Below are 23,940 nucleotides of genomic sequence, written 5' to 3'. Positions count from 1 at the left end.
TGCAAAGAAAGTCCACACTGTAGCCTGGAACCTTGGAATATGTGTGGAGAGCTTTATCAGCTTTTAGGGCTGTTCAGTGTAATTCCATATGTCCTTGTGAATCCAGAAAATAGCTTTCCTTTTTTGTTCCTCGTATTCAAGAGTCAGCATAATGTGATGATTCTGTCTCTGTTGTAAGCATTTAGGCAAATTCCTTAACTTCTCATTGCCTCTGTTTTTCCATCTGCAAAGTTGGAATCATAACAATACCTGTCTCATGAGATCATTGTGAGGATTAAATAGAGTTAAAACTTTAAACGGCTTTAAATGGTGCCTGGTGCATAGTCGGTGCTACGTAAGCATTAGCTGTTGTCATCACAATACCTCTGCAGTACATTTTTCCTTTGGGCTTTCCCTTTCTTTTCCCAATGCTGCCATTGTAGCCAGGTCAGGCTATCATGACCTCCCTCTTGAATAGGTTCATAATTCATTTCCTTCTTCTAAATCTCTATTTCTCTCAATAAATCATACACAGTATCACCACTCCAATCTTTCAAAAGTCTACCTCTGATCCTGTCCCTACCTTATTCAATGGCTCTGCTGAATTCATCACATAAAGTCTAAACTCCCTAGCCTTAATTTCGAGCCTCATTCTGTCCTTTTCTGTTGATCATAGTTTCATTCTTTAATCTTAACATCTTACTGTACCTTCTCACGACCCTATGCTTTTTCGGAGCCATGCTATTTTCTATTCCCTCTACTTGTTCCCTTAGTTTGCTCTACCTGTCCTGGTATGTTCTTGGTTTTATACCTGTGTTGACTGTCCTTTCCATTTGGAATTTACTTTCCCCCCAATATCTTCCAGGCCAAAGCCTACTTATCCTTCATAGCCAGGCCTGAATGCCACCTCCACCCTAGGGAACCCTTACTGATCCCACCATTTTATCTTCCCCTTGCTCTTTCCTGACCTCCAATATACTTTATCTGCATTTTTGAAAAACCCCAACCCTGTTACCTAGCTTTAGTTATTGTTTTTTTTAACCCCTACTTAGTATGTTCCATATCACAACCCCTCAGATCCTTGGATCAAGTCTGATTCTTCAGTGTTTCCTACTCAGGCCTGTCCCCAGCCCTGTGCTATGCATAGAGCAAGTCCTCTGCAAAGATGAATGAAACAGTAATTGAGGGACTTGAAATGACAGCCTGGTCTTGTGGTTCTTCCTTTCTGTGACATTCTCAGTCACTTGATTGTTCCTTTACATGAGTGCCTATGGAAATATTTCAACTTCAAAAGTCAATGGGATAAAAACATTCCTATCAGTAGGAAAAACAAACACACAAAATGCACTATTGATTCTCAAACAGCAGATGCTTTTTTAAGAAGGAGTGATGAAAACATGTCTTGGGTCCAGTACCTTTATACCTGGTTACTACAGCTGCATTGACGCTAAGAGGCTCTTGGAAGCTGACAGTGAGTGATGTGCTGCTGGTTACCATGAGACAGACATTGGTTGGCATCTCAGGGGCTCCTGGGACAGAAGGAAAAACACAAGGATCTTAACATAGCAAATCCTTTTCAAACAACGTTCCTCCCTCTTCAAAGGATACCCTGAAATGAATACTATGGAAACATTTGTTTGTGGAGCCTAATAGCTTTCGCTTTTGAACATTTTCATTAGACGTCTCAATGGCTTTTATTTGTTGCCATTGGGGTCTTATTTGAGCATTAGAACATTTTCTGAAAAGGTAAATAATACCAGTTAAGCCTTCCTAAAGTATCCTGCAAACACGATAGGAGATTGGGCTGGATCAGTGAAGAGAAAGGCAGGAAGTGATAGCAGGATCCTATATTGTCAGTGGACACCCTTACGTTTTATAAAGTACATCGTTTCACTGGAGGCTTTTTGCAGCCCTCCTTGGTAGAAAGGGCAAGAAATAGCACACTCACTTTTGGTATGAGGAAACCGCAGCCCCAAGTGGCCAAATTCCTTGTTCAAGAACACAGTGAAGACAAACAGTCAGGATGAAAGCCCCTGGCTTCAGTTGCCTACTTTTGGGCTCTTTCCAGTATTGATAGAATTCTAACTCACCTTGCTCTCAGGCTTTCTCCTATTACAAATGAGCAGTATTTTCCGAGAAAAAAATTTATGGGTGGATGTCATGTCCACTAACCTCAGGTTTTAAAGGACTCCTGATGGCTTTTAGTATTGCTTAACACGTAGAAGGTGTTTTATAATTTAGCAAATTACAAAAATTGACATCAAATCTGAAAATATGTCTGTTTCTAGTGTTAATCTGTCCTAAATGAGGCATAATAGCAAATGCATTTATTAAAGCAAGCGCTGAATCTCTTTAAACAAACCCATGCACCAGCCTTGCTGGAGAGTGTTGATGTTGAAAGCAAACTTTCATTAATGTTGCTAAGTTATTTGCTCCAAGAGAAAGGATTAGGCCTAGATTTGGTATTTAGTGTACTTAAGAAAACATCATCACTGTCTTTGGTCTTTGTCTACATCACAACTAAGTTTCCTGCAGCAGAGGCAGAGACCTTTCAAACTAACGAACTTTCCCTTATATTTAAAATTTCCAGCCTAATTTTTTTGTTGTTGTTTAGTTACGATCTCCTTCTAGAATGAGAGTTTAATATTTCACAAGTGTTTGAATTTTATATTTTGTTTTTGTATCAGGAGCTACACTCAGCATTACTTTCCAGTGCTAATGAGTATTATCCAAAAAGAAGGCTTTTCTTAAACTAACAAAAAGAATTGGTAAAGAAAATGAAAGTGCAGACAAAAGCGTAATTCTTGAGTTGATTGTTCTTTTCGGTTGCCTGTGTTAACTGAAGTTCAGTTTATAGCTCTATATAAAAAAATGCAGTAGAGCGTTGAAAACAACTTAAACTTGAGCTTGGAGCAGAAACTGGACAAACAGGCAAACAAATATTTTTCCACCTCCCTATCCCAAAATATAGCCATCTAGGGCATCAGACCATCCAGATCATTAGGCATTAGGGCGTAGCGGATGGAAAGTGCTAGATGAGTGTGACATGGTGGAGAGAGGCCAGAGGCATGAAGCCTCATGGCTGTGGTCAGAGCACCCATCAGGAGCCAGAAACTCAAGCAAGATAAAAGACCCTTTGACAGCCTCTCAGAGCCCTTGCTCCATACAGGCTGACAACGGCCATCCATGACTCTGTAGAGCTGAAAAAAAAAATCTGTAAAAGAAGACCTGGCTGTCTCAAACTGAGGCTCAGTCTAGTGAAATGTAGACATTTTCTGCTTATACTCACTGGCATGCTCAAAGCCTGTTTTCATGCGTCTGTAGAGCCGATACCTCCACTCCCAAGCTTTCAGCTGCTTCTCTTTCTCTGTGTTGTCCAGAGTGAATCCTTCATTCTCCACCTGGGCAGACAGTTCACTCACCCTCTCCTGGGCTTCCTGGACCAGTGTGTTGAGGTGCATTGCTCGGCTTTCCAGGCTGACAACTAAAGGGAAAGAAATGGGATTACTTCTCTTTCTTTCTGGGGAAATGCTGCTTCATTGGAAGGATATATCCCAGAGTTTACTATGATTTGAAAAAAAAAAAAAAAATGCCTGGGAAAAGTGGGATCTGTGTTTGTTATCAAGTATCTTACTATGATAAGGTCTAATTAGTGACACTTACAATCAGATTAAGTGGTAAATTCATCACATTAATATATTCCCATTGCTCTCCAGCCCTGCTGTAACACATACCTCACTTAGCTGCTTAACTTAGCTAATTAGAATTCCACCATCAAGTACCCAGGAGGACCACTTCTCATCCAGAGAGTACACATTTGTTGCCATGACCTCTAGAAGGACAAACATGTAGGGGCAAAACTCCGTATGGCCAGGAAGACCCTAGGAAATGTTATCCATGAGGCAAGTTGCATTCTGATGAAGTTTTGTTTTGCTTTTGGTAGAACCTGATTCAAATTTTCTGCCTTTAACACATTCTTCCCAGCTTATAGACATTTTTGTACGTACATCTTAGAGGCATAATTTTATTATTGTTAATCAATGTATTTATTGCTTACAAAGAGTTCCGCTACTGCTGCCACAGTTGAGCTAGTGAGTTCTGATGACTGGCTGACTTGAATGTGATCAGAAATTGATCTTTGATTGTGGTGTAATGGTAGGAATGATCTCCAGAGATACCTATGCTCAAGAGGATAAGTTATATAAGCCCCTCTTGCTGAGAGAGGTTGTAGAGCTTGCTATTTCTATTTTACCCAATATGTGATAGTCTTCATTTGATTTACATCAGATTGTTTAGCCATCCTGCTCTTGCGTTCATGTCAATGAATGGGAAGGAATGTATGTCTCCCTTTCTTGTGCTGAGCAGTGAGGCTGCCTCTTATGATCTCCTCATGGCTGTTATGCATATGAGGGCCTGCCACGATGGTCACTTGGTCACTTCAGAGCCCCACCTGGTTAAGTGATAAAAGAGCCTCAGCATGGGAATATGGTAGGGGATCACAGAACAGTCAAGTAAACCAGACTAAAGTCCTACAGATCTGTTGCTGAAATGTGTTTGACACTCCCTGTGACCAAAACAATATTTCTCCCTGGTGGGTGGGAAAGAAATCCAACTATTTCATTCTTCTAATTAAAGGGGAAAATATTGTGAAGATAACTCAAGTGAAAATTTGTTAGGTGTATTTTGAAATGGAAATTAGGTGGTTATATATTCATATTCTCTGTGTTCATGGGCATGTTTGCATTAATTACAGGAAATGAATACTAATTTATTATTGCCTCTGTGCACCATCGGTCTAAATTTATTTACAGACGAGGTCAATGAAAAATTAGTTGAGTCTTTTTTCTTTTTCTTTCTTTCTTCTTTCTTTTTAAAGTTGCTGTTTAGAACACTCAGGACTGTGTTTTGCTGCAGATTTGTCATGGTTAATGAATGTTGCTGTAGCAGTCAATCATGTACTCTAAATACTGTCACACTTTTTTTTAAAAGCCTCAGTCATGAGCCATGACAGAAAAATAAACAAATAAATATAAAGCTAAAAAACTCTTTCACTGAGCAGCTACACTATGCAGAATCCCTGGGGAAGGCTAAAGGAGGCCAGAATAAATGATAATATAAGTGCTGTGGACGTAGGGAAGCAATGATGGGGTATGAACGCAGAGGTTCTGGAGAAAAAAAAAACACATACACACACGCGGGCGCACACTCCAGTGGAAAAATTGGCAATATTAGTAGCCTCAAGGTGCAATTTCCTGGAGCAGTGAGATTGACAAGTCAGTACTAAATGCTGTTAATTTAACTAACTTCAGATTAATGGTAGAGTCTGCTATGACTGAAGCCCTCAAACACAGTCTCATTATAGCCTTGCTGGGAAGGTCCTAAATATAGGCATTGACAGTTTAAAACAAATTCGTATACATTTGTGTATTTTTAGACATAGGTTAGGCGTCAGAGTTTGTGTCACAGTTTTCAGGTTGATTAATTGACCCAGTAACTGCACTCTCTACCCACTCCCCCCTCCTTCTTCCACTCCAAATTATAGAGAAAATGGGGGAATTGTCCTTGTTAAGTTATCCAGTGAGCTTTTTATTGTATGCCTGATGTTTGAATTGCATGCATGCGTCAACACTTGGGTGACAGACACATGATTTATAAAAATAAATTTTTCTAATACTATGAAATCCCCACTATTAATTTTTATATCCACAACAGTTATTACTGGTGTGAATTCCAGGTGGCATTTCAGATGGACAGCTTCTCTTGAACTATGCTTGGCTCCTTCTGACAATTTTTCTGCTTTCCCTAGAACCACACATTTTGTTTCTGCATTTTCCCTTTCCTTCTAGGCTTTAGATGCAATTTGAGTTATAATGATAAAGGAATTCCACCTCTTCAAGATAATGCATTTTGCCTCTTCAGAGACTAAAGACAGAATTTTATAGCTGGGTGAGCTCTGCAAGATTATTTACATCCCAGCGCACCTCAAACTGGGATATCTAAACTCTAATGTAATATAGTGGTGACGGTGGGTGAAGTAGGGGGTGCAATGATCACCTCTAAAAACACAATATGAATGAATGTGTCTTCTTGGAGCATCAAATTTTACATGCAGATTTTGATTAAGCATATTATTTAGAAATTAAATAGGTCTATTATGGAGAAGAATGGAAAGTGTTTTCAAAAATTGAAGATTTTGAAAAAAGGGAAACTTTGTAAAACTCTATCCCTTTTTTCCAGGTTAAGAACACAGGTGTCCTTGAGACTATCATTTGCATCTGTTGTTAAAAGTAATTGCATGGACAAGTCAGAGAAGCACTGACTGAGCCACTGGTTTCCAACCATTTCGGCAAGCAAACTTTTATTTATTTTTTCCAGTGGATTTTTTTAATAGCTTAATAAAACACCCTCTTTTGAAAGATTTTTTTTGTCTACTAAACCAGCTGACTTATAAAGTGATCATGTTTCTCCCTATTATTAATGACCTATATAACCATCAATAGAAGCATCTGTTCAGAATGAGATAATCAACCTAACAAACTGGGTTAATATATTTTAAGCAGAAGCAAGTAAATATGACAATTATATTAGACTGTGTAGTTTATCTTGAGTAATGGTGTGATAGTTAGCCTTTTTGAAAGCTTGAAAATTGTTCTGGGAATCCAATTTCTATTTTTGCCACCCTGGAATGGGGGCATTTTTTTTTTACAATTGAGAAATCATATTTAATAAATCATTTTCAATTTTTATAATGTTTCAAGCCCATTCTTTGTTGATAGCCTCCACATTTATATGGTGAAATCATTGATGCTGTGCTTCTTATCTATGACATTATTTTTATATCCCTTCATTTGTGGATCTTAAGATGTTGCAGAAGGTTCATTCCTGTACCCCAATACAGATTCACTTCCTTTAGCTGCCTTCTCTAGCACCAATGTGCTTTAAAAAAAATGTGCAAACAACAAGCAGTGACAGTGGCCAATTCCTTGAATGTCCAGATTAATAACTGTAGCATGCTAAAGAAAGGTGTGCGTAAATAGCTGGAGATGGTGTATGGTCCAGAGTCTAGAATAAATGTATTTCCTTTCTGAGCATTCCTTCCATTCCCCTAACCCGAATACATGCATTAGAATGCAGCAAAACCCTTCAGGAACTTCTCTTAGCCAACTGCAAACTTATCTGTTGCCACAAGTGCAAAGGGGTAGGATGTGAACCAGTATATCACAAAGCTCTTTAGCCACTTCAGTTGGCGACAGAACACAAAAGGAAAAAATTCTTATGTATACACCTCAGTCTGTCTCCACTTTTTATGAAACTGGAATAAAATGGGAAAGTGCCACCTTTATTAATCCTAATTGAATTTTAAATGTCCTTTTGACACAACAAGGTATATACATGACACAGCTACACAACCTTTTTTCAACTGGACAACAAGTGTCAAAACCCTGTGGATGTATAGGGTAAAACAAGATTGGTCAGGAAAAGAGAATTGTTGCTATAACTGGTAATCTGACACAATGTCCTATTGCCATTAAAAAAAAAGGTCCATTTTCAGCCGGGCGCGGTGGCTCACACCTGTAATCCCAACACTTTGGGAGGCTGAGGCAGGTGGATCACCTGAGGTTGGGAGTTTGAGACCAGCCTGACCAATATGGTGAAACCCTGTCTCTACTAAAAATACAAAAATTAGCCTTGCGTGGTGACCGGCACCTGTAGTCCCAGCTACACGGGAGGCTGAGGCAGGAGAATTGCTTGAACCTGGGAGGCGGAGGTTGCAGTGAGCCAAGATCGCACCACTGCACTCCAGCCTGGGAGACGGAGCGAGACTCCTTCTCAAAAAAAAAAAAAAAAAAAAAGTTCATTTTCAGTTTATTCAAGTTTGTTTTCATGGTGTTTTATACCTCTTGATAAAAAAATTTCAGACTTTTGTAATTTGTGTATGCTGATCTTCATCAAAAGGTTCATTCTCTGGATCAGTCAGTGGTGTCAGAATATTTATAGTGATCAGGCTCATTGTCACTAACATCTGGTGTTACAGAAGTGTAACTACTAGCCTCTGGATCTGATGGCAGAATGGGGCTATTTTCAACTTCCTTATTTTAAAGATGAAGAAATTGAGACCCAGGGAGATGGGATGACTTATTCATGATCTTCATCTAAACCTTAAAGAACTCGGTGGATTTTCTCTAAACCAAATAGAATACAAATCAACCTATTATTTATATATTACAATTTCCTGATTGTTATCTATTTGGTATGAAATTGGTGAACTCAGTTTGGCTGGTTGGTTTGATTTAGAAAATAGAAAGGCTATGTCTGTTTTATCATTCCTGCCCATCCACTTCTCTTTTTCTTGGATTCATTCCCCTTTCACTTCCACCCACAGGACACTTTTCCCTGGAGGCCATACTCCTGATCTCTGCAAGGTTTGGTCTTTTCTCTCATTGCAGTTGGTTCCTTCTCCAGCCAAGCAGCTATCCCTCTGAGCAGCCATACCAGCACAATGGAGGGTCTGTGACTGTGTGGTAAGCAGTCCAGCAGGGGCAAGACCACTCAGTGGCTCCTGAAACAGGCTCTGTGCTATTGTGGTGTTTAATTATCAACAGCATTTCTACCTCCCAGTGCTTCTGAGTGGGCATTTGTTATAAGACCTATGCAGCTAATTAACCAAGGGATGGGGTGGGGGATGGGGCAGGAATTTGTGTTCAAAGAATACAATTAGAGTTACTGTTTAAATCCCGAGATAAACAATGATCAGGGACTGAAGGGATTTTCTTCACCATTAGAATCTAACCTATGGATTGCTACTTACAGTTTCTTAACTTTGCCCTTGCCTGCAATTGCTAAATTTGGGCCTGGCTGATAATTGCTCAAAGCTTGAAAATACAATGAGTGTAACATGTAAACTAATTTTAATTTTTAATTAAGAATTTTAGGGAACAATTTGTTTGGTTTGCTTGAAAAAGACGGACACATTTGTCTATTACTAATGATGTGCCATTTTTCAATTTAGTAACAGCTTTTCTGTTATTATGGGTATGTTCCTGTTTTTCAATGATGAGAAAATGAGGCACTAAGACAATCATTTAATCTCAGAGTTAGAAGGATACCTTACAACCAACCTCAGTTACCTCCCCTTTAGTACCCTTGGTCCTGTGTAATTTCCTACATGAGGGGAACTCACTGAGATGACCTTGTCCATTTTCATACAACTCCGAATTTTAAAGTTTCCTTATCCTGAACTGAAATCTGCTTTCCAATTACAGTCATGTGTCACTTACTAACAGGGATATGTTCTGAGAAATGCATCCTTAGGCAATTTCATTGTTGTGCAAATATTACAGAGTATACTTACACAAATCTAGCAGGCATAGCCTACCACACAGCCAGACTCTATGGTATAGCCTATTGCTTCTAGGTTATACACCTGTACAGCATGTTGCTGTACTGACTACTGTAGGCAGCTATAACACGATAGTATTTGTATATCTAAATCTATTACAACATGGAAAAAAGTACACTAAAAATACTAAAAGTATGGCATAAAGGATAAAACATGGTAGAGCTGTATAGGGCATTTACCCTGAATGGCGCTTACAGGACTGGAGGTTGCTTTGGGTGAATCAGTGAGTGAGTGGTGAGTGAATGTGAGGACGTAGGACATTACTGACACTGCTGCAGACTTCATAAACACTGTACAATTAAGCTACACTAAATGTATAAAAAATTCTTTATCAATAATAAATTAGCATAGATGGACAGCTTCTCTTGAGCTATGGTTGGCTCCTTCTGACAATTTTTCTGCTTTCCCTAGAGCCACACATTTTGTAACTCTTTTGCTTGATAAACTTTTTAAAACTTTTTGGGTCTTTTGTAATAACAGCTGAAAACACAAACAAACAGTACCACTGTACAAAAATATTTTCTTTATATCCTTATCCTATAAGCTTTTAAAAAATTAAAAAAAATTTTAAACTGTTTTTGTTAAAAATCAAGACACAAACACACACACTAGCCTACGCCTATGCCTAGGGTCAACATTATCAACATCATCATCTTCCACCTCAACATCTTATCCCACTGGAAGTTCTTAAGGGGCAGTAACACGCATAGAGCTGTCATCTTTTATGGTAACAATGCCTTCTTCTAGAGTACCTCCTGAAGGACCTGAGGCTGGTTTACAGTTAACCATTATTTTTTAAATAATTAGAAGGAGTGCAGTCTAAAATAATGATAACAAGTATAGTAAATACATGAAACAGTAACATAGTAGTTTAGTGTCATTATCAAGTAGTGTGTCCTGTACATAACTGTATGTGCCATACTTTTATATGACTGGCAGCACAGTAGGTTTGTTTAAACCAGCATCACAATGAACATGTGAATAATGCATTGCACTGTGATGTTATGACAGCTACATCATTAAGCAATAGGAATTTTTTAGCTGCCTTATAATTTTATGGGACCACCTTCATATACATAGCTTACCATTGACTGAAATGTTATGTGCATGTGATTGTACTTCCAAACTGCAAGCAACGTGGTAAAAGGGCTTTGGGGTTCTATAGCTCAAGCGCTGCCCTTACATATGGGTGATCCTAACTAGTTACTCTGCTATATTGAGCCCAAATTTCTCATTTGTAAAACTGGCATTGTAACAACACTTGTCTTATAACTTGTAACAAATTAATGATAATCTTTACATAGAAGACTCTCAGTGGAGGGTTGCTTATTATTATTACATCCATTGATCTTATACTTTTAGAAGCACACAAAATAAATCAAAATACTTGTTTTATAAAATAACTCTATGTTCTTCCATCAAAAACCCCTCTTGCCTCAAATAAAATTTTTCCATCCTAGCTACTGTTCAGAAATATACACTAGCAAGTGATATCAATTTCAACCCCATCTGCTATTTCAAGGCAGAAAACAAGGTCACTTAGATTTGAACGTTGCATTGTAACAAATATACTCTGGGCAGTTAATAAAATTTATTTTTGCTGATTATAAGCGACAACCTTCTAACAACTTCACTACTGACTTGTTTTAAGGTAGGAATGGCAAAGTAATGTAGGGGAATTCTAAAAATTAAATACTTTTAATTCAAAAACTCTTATACCAGAGAAACACAAAACATAGTTCCAATTTATCCATCTTAAGATTCAGGACGCAAGACTCATTTTGGCTTCACTTAGGTCTCAAGCTGTTATTACATTTTCAGATTTTCCCAAGGACATTGAGATGTGGTTCCAAAAAGGTTTTAGAGATCTGGAGATTAAATGTTTCATTTTAATGACTGTGAAACTTTCTTCTCCTATAACTTATTACACCCAGACATGGGGCTCTGAAGTGTTCTCTGCAACTTTCCAGGAGGATGTTGACTCACAAAGTCCTTATATAACTTAGATTGTAACTGGTGATTTCTTAAGAAGCCAGAACAAATGACACAGAAAGGAACTTTTGGAACTCATCAAACTCAAAGGGGAAAATGGACATCTTCTCTAAAAGCACAACATGCAAGCCACTTGAGTGGATTATTTAGAAAATTCAAAGGAAATTGCCCCATGGCATCATAAGAGGTTTAAGTAATGAAACAAGATAACCATGTTTTCTGCCAATATTTTCAGTGCTGTTCATAGACATATAGTGTGAGCCACATCATTTAAAATTTCCTAGTAATGACAATAAGAAAGCAAAAAGAAATAGGTTGCATTAATTTTAATAATATATTTTACTTAACTTGATATATCCAAAATGCTACCATTTCATCATGCAATCAATATACAATTTATTAATTTTATATTTTATGTTATTTTTGGTACTAAGACTTTGAAATCAATGTAATTTTACACTTAGAACACTTATTCATTTGCACTAGACACATTTCTTTTTTAAATTTTATTTTATTATAAATTGATAATAATGTCATGTATTTATGGGATACAAAGTAATATTATGATTTGTGAATACAATGTGGAATAATTAAATCAAGCTAACTAGACATATTCATCACCTCAAATATATATCTTTTTTTTGTGGTGAGAACATTTGGAATTTACTCTTTTACCAATTTTGAAATGTACAATACACTGTTATTAACTATCTTCATGACACAGTGCAATAAATTTAATAAAACCAATTATTTCTCCTGTCTGAGATTTTGTACACTTTGACTGTCATCTCCCCATTGTCCCCAACCCCCTGACTCTGTAACCACCATTCCACTTTCTGCTTCTATGAGTTCAATCGTTTTAGAGTCCACAAGACTCTAAATAAGTGAGAACATGAGACATTTGTCTTTCTGTGCATGGCTTATTTCATTTAGCAGAATGTTCTCCAATTCCATCGATTTTGTCACAAATGACATTTCCTTCCTTTTTAAAGGCTGAATAGTATTCAATTATGTATATATATAATATATAACATTTTAAAAATCCACTCATCTGTTAATTGATACTTAGGTTAATTTCATAACTTAGCTATTGTGAATAGTGCTGCAGTGAACATGGAAGTGCAGACATCTCTTTGACAAACTGATTTCAAACCTTTTGGGTAAATACCCAGAAGTAGGATGACTAGGTCATATGGTAATTCTGTGTTTAGTTTTTCGAGGAAACTCCACTTAGTTTTCATAATGGCTGTGCTAATTTACATCCCCACTAACAGTGTACAAGCGTTTCCTTTTCTCCACATCCTCACCGACACTTATCTTCCATCTTTTTGATAATAGCCAGTCTGACAGGTGTTAGATGATATCTCATTTCTCATTGTGATCTTAATTTGCATTTTCCTGAAGATTAGAGGTGCTGATCATTTTTTTTCCATATATCTGTTGGTCATTTGTATGTCTTCTTTTAAGAAACCCTATTCAGGTTCCTTGCTTATTTTTATTTTTATTTTTATTTTTGAGATGGAGTCTCCCTCTGTCCCCAGGCTGGAGTGCTGTGGTGCGATCTCGGCCCATTGCAACCTGTGCCTCCCGTGTTCAAGCGATTCTCCTGCCTCAGCCTCCCGAGTAGCTGGGATTACAGTAGCTGGGATTACAGGCACCTGCCACCATGCTCAGCAAATTTTTGTATTTTTAGTAGAGATGGAGTTTCACCATGTTGGCCAGGATGGTCTCGGTCTCCTGACCTCATGATCCTCCCGCCTTGGCCTCCCAAAGTGCTGGGATTACAGGCATGAGCCACTGCACCTGGCCACCTATTTTTAAATTGATTTATTTATTTTGTTCCTGTTGAATTGAATTCCTTACATTTTTTGGACATTAACCCCTTATTGGATGTACGGGTTGCAAATATTTTCTCCCAATACACAGGTTGTCTCTTAACACTGTTGTTTCCTTTGCTGTGAAAAAGCTTCTTAGTTTGTTTTACTCCCATTTGCCTACTTTTGCTTTTGCTATCTGTGTTTTTGGGCTTATATGCAAAAGATCATTGCCTGGACGAATGTCATGTAGTTTCTCCCCTATATTTTCTTCTAGTAGTTTTACAGTTTCTGGTTTTATGTTTATGTCTTTACTCCATTTTGAGTTGGTTTTCGTATATGGTATGAGATAAGGGTCCAGTTTCATTCTTCTGCATGTGGATATACAGTTTTCCCAACACCGTATATTGAAGAGACTATTCTCTTTCCATTGTATGTTTTTGGTAACTTTGTTGAAAAGCAGTTTACCGTCCATTCATGGTTTCATTTCTGGGCTCTCTATTCTGTTCCATTGGTCAATGGCATCGATATATTTCAAATGTTTGATAGTCATATGTGGCTAGTGGATTCTGTGTTGGACAGTGTAGTTTTAGAACATAAAAATTATACAAATTTTAAAAAGTGCTTCATAGGAAGTGTTTTGGAATACAAACTATATAACTAATGGGTAAAATATTTAAATTCTTTACCAGAAACTCTTGGGTCATTTTATTTTGTTTTTGAGAGTTATGTTGGCTAACAATTTTTAGAAATCAATTACAATTGGCCAGGTAATGTGATAAATGTTTTAATGGTATTATTCCACTTAATTCTCAATAATCTTATATGGGTAATAAGGTAGCCAGCCTCCAGGAGGGCCTGCAGTGACCTATGTCTGCTTGCATTCACACCCTTGTATAGTATTCTCCTACACTGAACAACCAGGGTTGTTCTGTGAGATCAGCAGAATTCTGCAGAAATGACACTATGTCACTTCTGAGATTAGGTTATACATGTCACTGTTGCTTCCACCTTGGCTGGTCTCTCTTTCTCTCTTTCTCAGATCATTTTCTCTGGGGGAAGCCAACTGCCATGTCATAGAGTAGCCATATGGAGAGACCCATATAGCAAGAAATGTGGGGCTCATGCCAGTAGCCACTATGAGTAAGCTCGGAAGTGGGGTCCTCTAGCTCAATCAAGCCTTAAAATGACAGCAATCTCATGGAGTCACATGAGATTATGACTGAGCCATAACCAACCAGCTAAAGCCATTCCCAACTCAGACTCACATGAGACAAACATTTACTATTTTTAGTTGCTGTTTGGGGGTAATTATTACACAGCAATATATAATAATACAAGTTAAGTACAATTATTATATCCATTTTACAAATGAAGAAATGGGGCCACAGAGAGGGTAAGGAATTTTCCCACAGCTACCAAAGGTCAGATGTGGGATTTGAAGCCAGAGCTCTCTGACTCCAGAAATTTAATTTTTAGCCTTTTCTAAGGGTTTAATTTAAAAGCTGCTCCCCAAACAATTCTATTGTTTTTATGTTTATGTTAAAACTCATGGGGAAAAGTCTGCATACCCTCTAAACTGATAACAATGGATATATTTTGGGTTTTGGGGGATGGGAACCTAGATTGTGTGTGCACGTGGGGATTAGTTGGGTGGGCTATCAAAGATACCTTTTAACTTTATCTATAATCTTTTCATTTCTGACAAGGAGAAGATATTCTATGTTGCATGTATATTTAAAATTTTTTTAAAAAGAAAAAAAAGATGGCTATAAAACAACATGGATGAACCTGGAGGACGTTATTCTAAGTAAAAAAAGCCACACACAGAAAGAGATAATGGATGATCTCACTTAAATCTGGAAATTTAAAAAGTCAAACACACAGAAACAGAGAGTAGAATAGTGGTTGCTATGGGCTAGGGGTGGGGAAAATAGGGAGATATTGATCAAAGGGTACAAATTTTCAACTAGAAGATGAACAAGATCTGGGGATCTAATGTGGAGCATGGGTTGTGATGGATCTGTGAATTAGTTTGATTATGATAATCTTTACACAACACATATATCAAGTCATCACATTATATACCTTGAATATATACAGTCTTGTCAATTAAATATTTTAAAGCAAAAAACCAGAAAAATGCAACTATCAACTCAAAGAATAGGTGACATGAACTTAGGTTTTGGCCATCTGATGTTTAAATAATTATTTGAAAACATAAAAAAGATCAATGAGCCCAATACTAACTAAAATCATTCTTTTCATAAGGGATAATATATTGACACCCCTCAAAAGAAATAGGCTTGGGATTGATTCAATTAAATTCAGTTGAGTGTCTACTGTTTGCTGGGGACTCAGTAATAAATGAGAGAGGTGCTGTCCTTTGGAATTTATGTTCTATTGCAGAGGAGATGAAAATAAGCAAATAAAAACATTGAGAAAAATTGTCAGTGCTATGCACAAAATGACAAGAGAGTGATGTGATGAGAAAATGTCATTTTAGACTTTGGACTTGGTGGCCAGAGAAAGCCTCTCTTGAAGATGTCACATTTAAGCTGAAATGTGAATGTTAAGAAGGATTTGGCCATGTAATGAACAAGATTAAAAGCACTCGAGCATTCCAAGTAGATGGAATAGCCAGTACAAAGGCCCTATGGTAAGATAGCCTGGCATGTTACAGGAACAGAATGGAGGGTGGTGTGGGTGAGGAGTGCACAGTATAAGAACAGATTTGTAAGTTAGGGTGAAGATCTATACCCCTATTTTAGTGAAGCAGAAAAAAATATTGAGGGCTCATTATAGAGACCTGTCTAAGGCTTGTTCTTTACATATTCTTATTGGCTGCAAATCTTTGTCCTTTGAGGGTGGATTTGATTTCAGGAAATCTCTCTAAATAATTTGAAGCCAAGTCTGGTGAACACAGAGGGTGATGACGCTAGGCAATGCTGTTTTGGAACAAAAATCAGGTGTGACTCTCAGCAACGAGTCAGATTTTCTCATAAACTGACTCTGAGGACAATTCCAAAGTGTTCAGAGCAATGGCAGCACTGTTGGAGCAAGTGTGGGGTCTCCCAGGAGGACCATGTGGAAGGGTAACATTCGCTTGGATTGTAGACTTTCTAGTGTGTTTGTTTACATAAAACCAGCCTCATTAGTTTATAGTCACACCTCTTAGACATGCCCTGACCAGTCCCAGCACAAACACGAACCCCTTACTACTGCAGAAATGAGTGGTGCATCCTGACAAGACTGCCAAAATTGTAACACTGGTGTCTGCACCATACTCAAATGACAGCAATTCTGTAATTGCATTTTATGAAGTAACTGGACATAACAAATTCTGAGTGACACTTTCTAGTTCCACAGGCAGCATCTGAGAGAAAGTTAGAGGGAGGCATTCACCAAGAAATGCAGAGGGAGAGGAGAGGGACTAGAGAGAAGGAGAATGTAGCTAAGGGAAAGGGCAGAAAGACTGAAACAGAGAGGTATTCCACCATTCTTACTGGTCTGTGTAATTAAATAGTGTAAAAATAAAAACAACTAGGCTACATCTACAACCAAATTCTGTAACAATGTCTGGAAAACAATAACAGCATTATTAACAACAAAAGGTGCCCCAAAGTTTAAGTTACTAGAAGACTTGAAGGTTTTTTTCCCTACATTCTGTGTATGCATGTGTGTGTGTCTGTGTCGATGATACACATAGTGACTGTGTATGTGCACACTAAGACTTGACATCTGTGACTCCCAGTAGCATAAGACAAGGCTGTCACAAAGGCTAAAATTTCAACTGTAATTTTCTGAGCATCTACTATGTACTAGGTACTGGAGTCAAAGAATGAAATAAAATCTCTGTGAGTGACCAGATTTGTACACAATAGGCAAAAGAGCTGGTTTCTTTATGATTACTATCTATGGGGTCTTAATGGCCATCTCAGAAAGGCAAGACTCCCATCGATGATTCAGCAAACTCCTCCTGGAGGCTGTTGGTTTGAGGGTGGGGGCAGAATACGAGTTAGTCAGAAAAAGGGAGGGGTTTATGACTGGGGGCTTTTATATACAGAGACAACAAGTCTTTCTTTGATAGCAGTTGTTCAATTGAACATGAGTCATAGCGACTGGGATCCTAAGTGTATGAAACAGTCCATGGCATACCCATGGGTGTCCTGTGGTGCCTCTATACATTGGCTTTCCTAGTTGCAGTCCTTTCAGATTCAGTGGTTGTTTTCCTAAGCTCAGCACATCAGTCTGCAAGAAAGTACTTGGGACTCTACTTCAATAATGGCTGATTGTTTTTCTGCAAGGAAAGAATATTATTTTGTGCTGTTTGCAAAAAGGTAGGAGGAACAGAAAAAAGTCATTGAATAAAGATAGTAGATTCGTCTAATGAGTAGGCTGGGGTTCTGTATATATTTAACTTGAGAGCAGTGTACAAGTTTAGATGGCTGCTTCTGGGATTTTTCTATGAGTAAGGAAACACAGATGGTTGAGTTTCAAGCTATGCCTATAAAGAACACATCCATGTGGCTCTGGCATCGAGGGGTTCAAGATAGAAGACAGGCCTGACCAATGGTTTGGGAGTTAGTTAAGTCCCTAAACCCTGTGTGTCACGGTGATTCCTGTTAAGAAATGGAGAAAACTACAGAGGATGTTCTTCTGAATTGTGTGAGGATACTTGGTTGGCATAGTGAAAAGAATACTGAGCTAGTTTTCAGAAGAGAATACACAGAGAAAGAGAGGAAAGAAAATTAACCTTGTTAGAAACCCTGGAGTCTGCACTCTGCTTTGAAATATGTAACTGTCATTAGAAGAGGAGCAGATGGAGAGCCAAAATAGGGAGGAATTGAGCATCTAATGTGTAACAGTGAGCATGCCAAAGCTTTCTCACAAACACCAAGGCAATTAATACAGATCTGGGTTCAAATCCTGACTGCACCACCTATTAACTTTGTTGTGTTGGGATAACTATTTGACCTTTAAAATTCCGATTTCTTTATTGATAAAGATGAAGAAAACAACGTCTCCCTCACAAGCCAGTTGTGAGGATCAAGGGAGATGATGTAGACAAAACCATTTTTGTAGGTGTAAAACACTCTAAGAACTTCAGACCTCATCATTAATTTTCCTCTCTTATATATCCTGCCTCTTTAGCTTCTGGGGAACAGTTTACGGCAGGTGTTTGCTTATCTGGTTCTGGCTGGCAGACTGGTTTTCCTCTTGGGCCTGCTCAAACTCACGTACAGAAGCATTCTGCTTCTTTTGTACTTGATATATAAAGTGAATTAAAAATGCCTGAAAACACTATGTTTTTCTATCCTGCCTCTCTCCAACACGACTGACACCTTAGTGCGCAGAACAGAACAAAGAAATACATCATATGACTTTAGCAAACAGTAGAAAGGGAGAGATGCAGGGGCCCAGAGGCCACGGCCCTCCATATTGGTTATGTGGAAAGGCAGTGAGTTTGTGTGGAAAGATTCCAGGTGTTGGCATCCTACAGATCCGGGCCTGAGTCCCTGGCATCCTTATTCATTTCCTGGATGTGTGACCTTGGGCCAGTCAGTTAACTTCTCAGAATCACAAGTTCCTCCTCTTAAAATGGAGTTAATAACTTTATCCTGTAGGGTTAGTGTGAAAACCAGAGATGTTGTATGTGGAGACTTCATAGGTACACAACCAATATTGCATTGCCATTTTTACACATGTAAGTCTATATGTGGTCGTATCTCTTTGCCTTCTTAGGTAGCCAAGGTGACTTAGGTGTCATGTTTCCTGGAGGCTGAAACCTGGGTTTATCTCCCACCATTTGTCCTTTACAACTTTGTGATGGTAACATGGCTATCATCCCAGAGAGAATGAGGAGGAAAACCAGGGATCTCTTGAACAAATTTGCTTTTGGTTTAACTAGATATTTAGTACTTGAGTTCTTTTACAGAGGTTTAATTATGCACAGGGGGCTTTGGGAGGTAGGGAGTCTTACTGTTTTCACAGAAAATGCAGAGTTTTTTGTAGTGTCGCAGGTAAGTGAGTAGGACTAATGTTTCATCCAGCCCAGTGCAGGATGGCCATGGCAACATCTGGATGAATGGTCTCCTTGTTCCTGTAGAATGGGGCTCAGTCTGCATTCTCCATGTTCAGACCCTCTGATTCTCTCTCCACCCTTCTGTCACTGGATCTTTGGGACAGACGTTGTTGCAGAATAAACCGGAAGGCAGCAAAGATGCCATTTCAATTTCTTCCATCCTCATTTATCATCCTTCCAAATCCTCCAGTTCCACTAAAAAGGGGCAGCACTTTGACTATAGAGCTCTTTTGAAGAGCTCAAATCCTACTGAATCCAAATCTTCACTGTCTCTGACATGGATATGGTAAGCTTAGCATTTTTATAGTAAGAAATTTTCTGATACAAGGATCTGCTTCTGTACCTAGTCTTTGGGTGGTGGCGATTTACGAAATTTAGGAGCAGAGATGTGACCTCTAATTATATATTTGCTTGCTTCTCTTTCAGCCTTCTGGGTCTCACCACTTGGAAGTAAGTGAATCAGTATTAGTGAAACTAACAGTTTGATGAGTTTACTTTTTTCTTTTAGGAAACATAAAAACAGTGGCTCACAGCCATTGTGGTCAATGGGTCAGAGAGTTTTCACTAAGGGGAATGTGAGTGCCTACTTCATAATGTTGCTGTGAGGATTAAAGGAGTCAATACATGGAAAGTGCTCAGAAAAGTGCCTGGCACAGGGTGAGTGCTGCATGATATTATCCCACCCACTCCTGGGTGGGGTCTGCCATTAGCCCCAGTGCAACTTTCTTCCCCAAGTACTATCAGCTCTACTTCAAAACACATCCAGAAAGAAGCCAGTCACAGAAGACCATATATTATATAATTCTGTTACATGAAATGTCTAGAACAGGCAAATCTATAGAAACAGAAGGTAGGTTCATGGTTGTCAAGAGCTGAGAAGAGTTGGGGAGATTGGGGAGTGATAATAGTCAATGGTATGATGTTTCTTTTCAGGGCAATGAAGCTCTAAAATTGATGGTGGTGATGGCTGCACAACTCTGTGCATATGTTAAAAACCACTGAATTGTATACTTCAAAAGGGTAAATTTTATGGTATGTGAATTGTATCTCAATAAAGCTGTTAAAAATATATCCAGAATTCTGACACTACTCAACATCACTGTGATGTTAGTCCAAGCATCCAGTCTGTCTCCTGCACCACTAAAATGACCTTGTAACTGGTCTTCTCAATTTCACAATTACCTCACCACTGTCTCTTTTCCATAGAGCACTGTGGTGATCTTCTAATGTAAATCAGAATATGTCATTTACCTTCCTAAATTGCTCCACTGCCTTCCCATCGTACTCCACAATTAAAGTTGAACACTGACCATGGTCTCAGGGTCCTGCATAATCTGGTCCCTGTGACTTCTCTCTCAATCATCATTCTCCCTCTTGCTACTTTGCTTTGGACCCACTGACTTTTTTTGTTCCTCCAGTATGTCAGTCTTATTCATGCCTGCCTCAGCATCTTTCTATTTGCCATTCACTCTGCCGAGAATTTGACCCCCACATCTTCTCATAGTTCATTCCTTCATATCTTCTAGAATTCAACTCAAATATCACCACATCAGAGAGGCTTTTCTTGCCCAACCCTATTTATGTATTCATTTTTTAATTGACATATTGTAACTGCCCATATTTATGGGGTACAACTGGATGTTTTCATATACATATATGTTGTATAATCATTAAATTAGGGTATTTAGTGTATCCATAACCTCATGCATTTATCATTTCTTTGTGGTGAGAACATTCAAAAGCCTCTCTTCTAGCTACTTTGTAATATACAATACCTAACTGTTAACCATTCCAACATCACCCTACTGTACAGTAAACACCAGACATTCCTCCTACCTAATTGTCAAAATTAAAAATAGAACTACCATATGATGCAGCAATCCCACTACTGGGTATATATCCAAGGGAAATAAAATCAGTATGTTGAAGAAATATATGCTTCCCCATGTTTATTATGGCACTATTCACAATAGCTAAGGTGTAGAATCAACTTAAGTGTCTGTCAATAGATGAATAGATAAAGAAAATGTTGTATAAGCCAAGCAAAGAAAGATAAACATGGCGTGATCTCACTTACATGTGGAATTTTTTTAAAAAGTTGATATCATAGAAGCAGAAATTACAGTGTTTACCGAAGACTGAGGGGTGGGGATTGTGAGAGATTGGTCAATGGGTATCAACCCTATTTAAAATAGTCCCTTCCCTATCAATCTACAGCCACTCATCCATTTTATTTTCTTCACAGCGTTTATCACTATTTTGAGTTTGTATTTTATCTATTTACTTGCTTATTGGAAGTATTCCCAACAAGCATGTAATTTCTATGAGAATAGGGACTTTTGTCTTGTTCACTGTTACATTCCTAGCACCTAGAACAGTGTCCCACACTCAGTGTTTATTGAATGAATGAATGAATGAATGAATGAAGCCACCGCATTGACTGTGGATACAAAACAGAAACACGCAAATGCTCATTCTTCTATATATATCTCCTATTCTATATCCTCACTTGGAGTATCTCACATATTTTAAAGCTTGCAATAAAATTCTTAGAAGTTCTTTGGGGGTTCCTTTTTAATGCCATTCGGCATATTCTATTTAGAAAGGAACTTGATGCTTAGACCAATAAATGCTGTCACTATTTGCATGAAAGCCCATGAAAACATCCAAAGCCTATCAGAGTCTATGCTTAGTCAACCATTCCTGCTCTGAAAGTCAGCAATGGCTATTTTGGTGGCATAAGGCTGGAATCTGGCTTTAATAGTACATGTGTTTATTCTCAGGTTACTTACAGTGTGGACTTTCTCGGGCCCCTGTCCTCAGAAGAATCCTTGCAATGGGCACATTGTTGGTCATGATGGCAATATCCAGGGGTGTCAAGCCCTCGCTGTTAGGTGTGTTGAGGTCAAGTTCTTCTGGTGTGTACTGATACAGGAGGATCTGCACAGCATCCATGTCCTGCTGTTCGACTGCCTCAAACATGGCTTCATTGCCCTGGAAATTCTAGAGAGGAGCAAAAGTAGATCAGCACAATTTCTTAAACCAGTGTGTCTTTGTAGCTTAGCTCTTTTGAAGTTTAAAGACTGTTTCAGGGACTGCATGTCCACTTATAAGTGGAATAACTACAATTTATCCCAAGGTCTCCAAAGTAAACACTCTGTTAGGCTTCCCCTCCGTCATTTCTAATGGACATTGAATAAGTGCACTGAGAGAATACAGGATAGCCTGGCTGGGCTGTAGATAAGAGCAAACCTCAGCTTTTCTCAAACCAGTCTTCTGAAAAATACTCTAATAGTTCATTTGGCTGGGCATGGTGGCTCACACCTGTAACCCCAGAATTTTGGGAGGCCAAGGTGGGCAGATCACTTGAGGCGAGGAGTTTGAAACCAGCCTAGCCAACATAGTGAAACCCCATCTCTACAAAAAATATAAAAATTAGCCGAGTGTGGTGTTGGGTGCCTGTAATCCCAGCTACTCTGGAGGTTGAGGCAGGAGGATCACCTCCTGCCCAGGGGGCAGAGGTTGCAGTCAGCTGAGATTGCGCCACTGAACTCCAGCCTGCACAACGGAGAGAGACGCTCTTAAAAAAAAAAAAAAAGTAATTAAGAGATGTTCTATGAAGAAAATAGCATGTGGTCAAATCAATTTGATAAACATTAGATTAAACCAAGTGTACCCCATTACTTCCCTGTAGGCTTCCTCAGGGTCTTTAATAATTTTAACATGTATTTTATTGCATTTGCTTTGACTACTCCTGGAATAGTGTTCTACAGAATACAGTTTGAGAAATGCTGGCATAGGTAATGTTAGCACAGGTAGCAGTTATGGCTAGCTTGGAATTGAGAGTACACTTTCTCTGTTTTTCCTCAAACTCACCCCTCCCTCTCCATCCCCAGCCTCTACATTGTCATCTCATGTCTGGACCATGGCAATGACCTGTCTGCTGCTAGTCTTGGTCTCCCCCAGCTCTCACTCTATACTGATACAAGAATAATCTTCCTAAAATATACATGTTACATGTTACTTCCTTATTTCCAAATATCTGCTAGCTCCTGTGGGTTGATAGTTTCTGAGCCCTGAGATGAGGAGTCCAAGTGGTAGTGTTCAGGGAGGGTTTCAATGGCTGGATGGCAAATTGGTTTTGGGCCTCATGGGACCAGAGTTGAATATTTATAGAATACACTTCACTTGTAGAAAAAAATAGCTTAAGAAAATATGGTTCCTTTGAAAAGTTCTTTCCAAGGATTAATAGTAAATAAAAGAGAAGAACTCCGGAATTCTTTTAGGTACATATTTCTTAGCACATGGGAGAAGACCAACACACGTATTATTTACACATCTATCTGGTATCTTCACCAAGAGTTGCTTGGTCTTTAAAAGAGTTGGAATACCACTGGTTTTAACCTGCATAGGGGTCACCTGATTAACATGTGGAAGATCTCCAGTGACCAAATGTTCAGGTGGTCAGGTTTTATTTTTAGTCTCATTAAAAATCAATTCTCCCTATCAAAGGCTGCAGGTCAGCTTTAGCTGAGTACATAACACAAAATTGAAATTTGAGGAAAATACAAAGCTATTATGCAAATGCTTGTTTTGACAATGGGGACCCAGGGAATAAAGCTATTTTGGTATGCAGTTTTCTTTGCTACAAGACAATCTGCTGAATGGTA

The 23,940-nt window shown here is 38.5% G+C and overlaps 1 protein-coding gene across 14 annotated transcripts in view, besides 1 other annotated feature; it reads right to left on the bottom strand.

Annotated features, from left to right (window-relative positions):
- Nucleotides 1-23,940, bottom strand: part of ANKFN1 (ankyrin repeat and fibronectin type III domain containing 1) — a 470,940-nt gene that overhangs the window by 140,908 nt on the left and 306,092 nt on the right. For all 14 annotated transcript variants that reach the window (XM_047435502.1, XM_017024263.2, XM_011524430.3 and 11 more), the window contains 3 exons: nucleotides 22,063-22,273; nucleotides 3,269-3,463; nucleotides 1,395-1,508 (listed from right to left, as the gene is read on the bottom strand). In XM_047435502.1, coding sequence (XP_047291458.1) covers nucleotides 1,395-1,508; nucleotides 3,269-3,463; nucleotides 22,063-22,273 — 520 coding nt within the window. The remainder of the gene's footprint in view (nucleotides 1-1,394; nucleotides 1,509-3,268; nucleotides 3,464-22,062; nucleotides 22,274-23,940) is intronic.
- Nucleotides 15,909-17,108: an enhancer, noted in NCBI's record as "MED14-independent group 3 enhancer chr17:54436362-54437561 (GRCh37/hg19 assembly coordinates)". NCBI's record gives its function as "activates an origin of replication core promoter dependent on BRD2, BRD4, P300/CBP and CDK7 cofactors, and independent of MED14, by STARR-seq in HCT116 cells {active_cell/tissue: HCT116}" and the evidence as "EXISTENCE:reporter gene assay evidence [ECO:0000049][PMID:35650434]".

The sequence above is a fragment of the Homo sapiens genome, chromosome 17 (genome assembly GCF_000001405.40).
Source record: "Homo sapiens chromosome 17, GRCh38.p14 Primary Assembly".
Taxonomy (NCBI): domain Eukaryota; kingdom Metazoa; phylum Chordata; class Mammalia; order Primates; family Hominidae; genus Homo; species Homo sapiens.
This window is presented reverse-complemented; position numbering and strand designations above follow the sequence as displayed.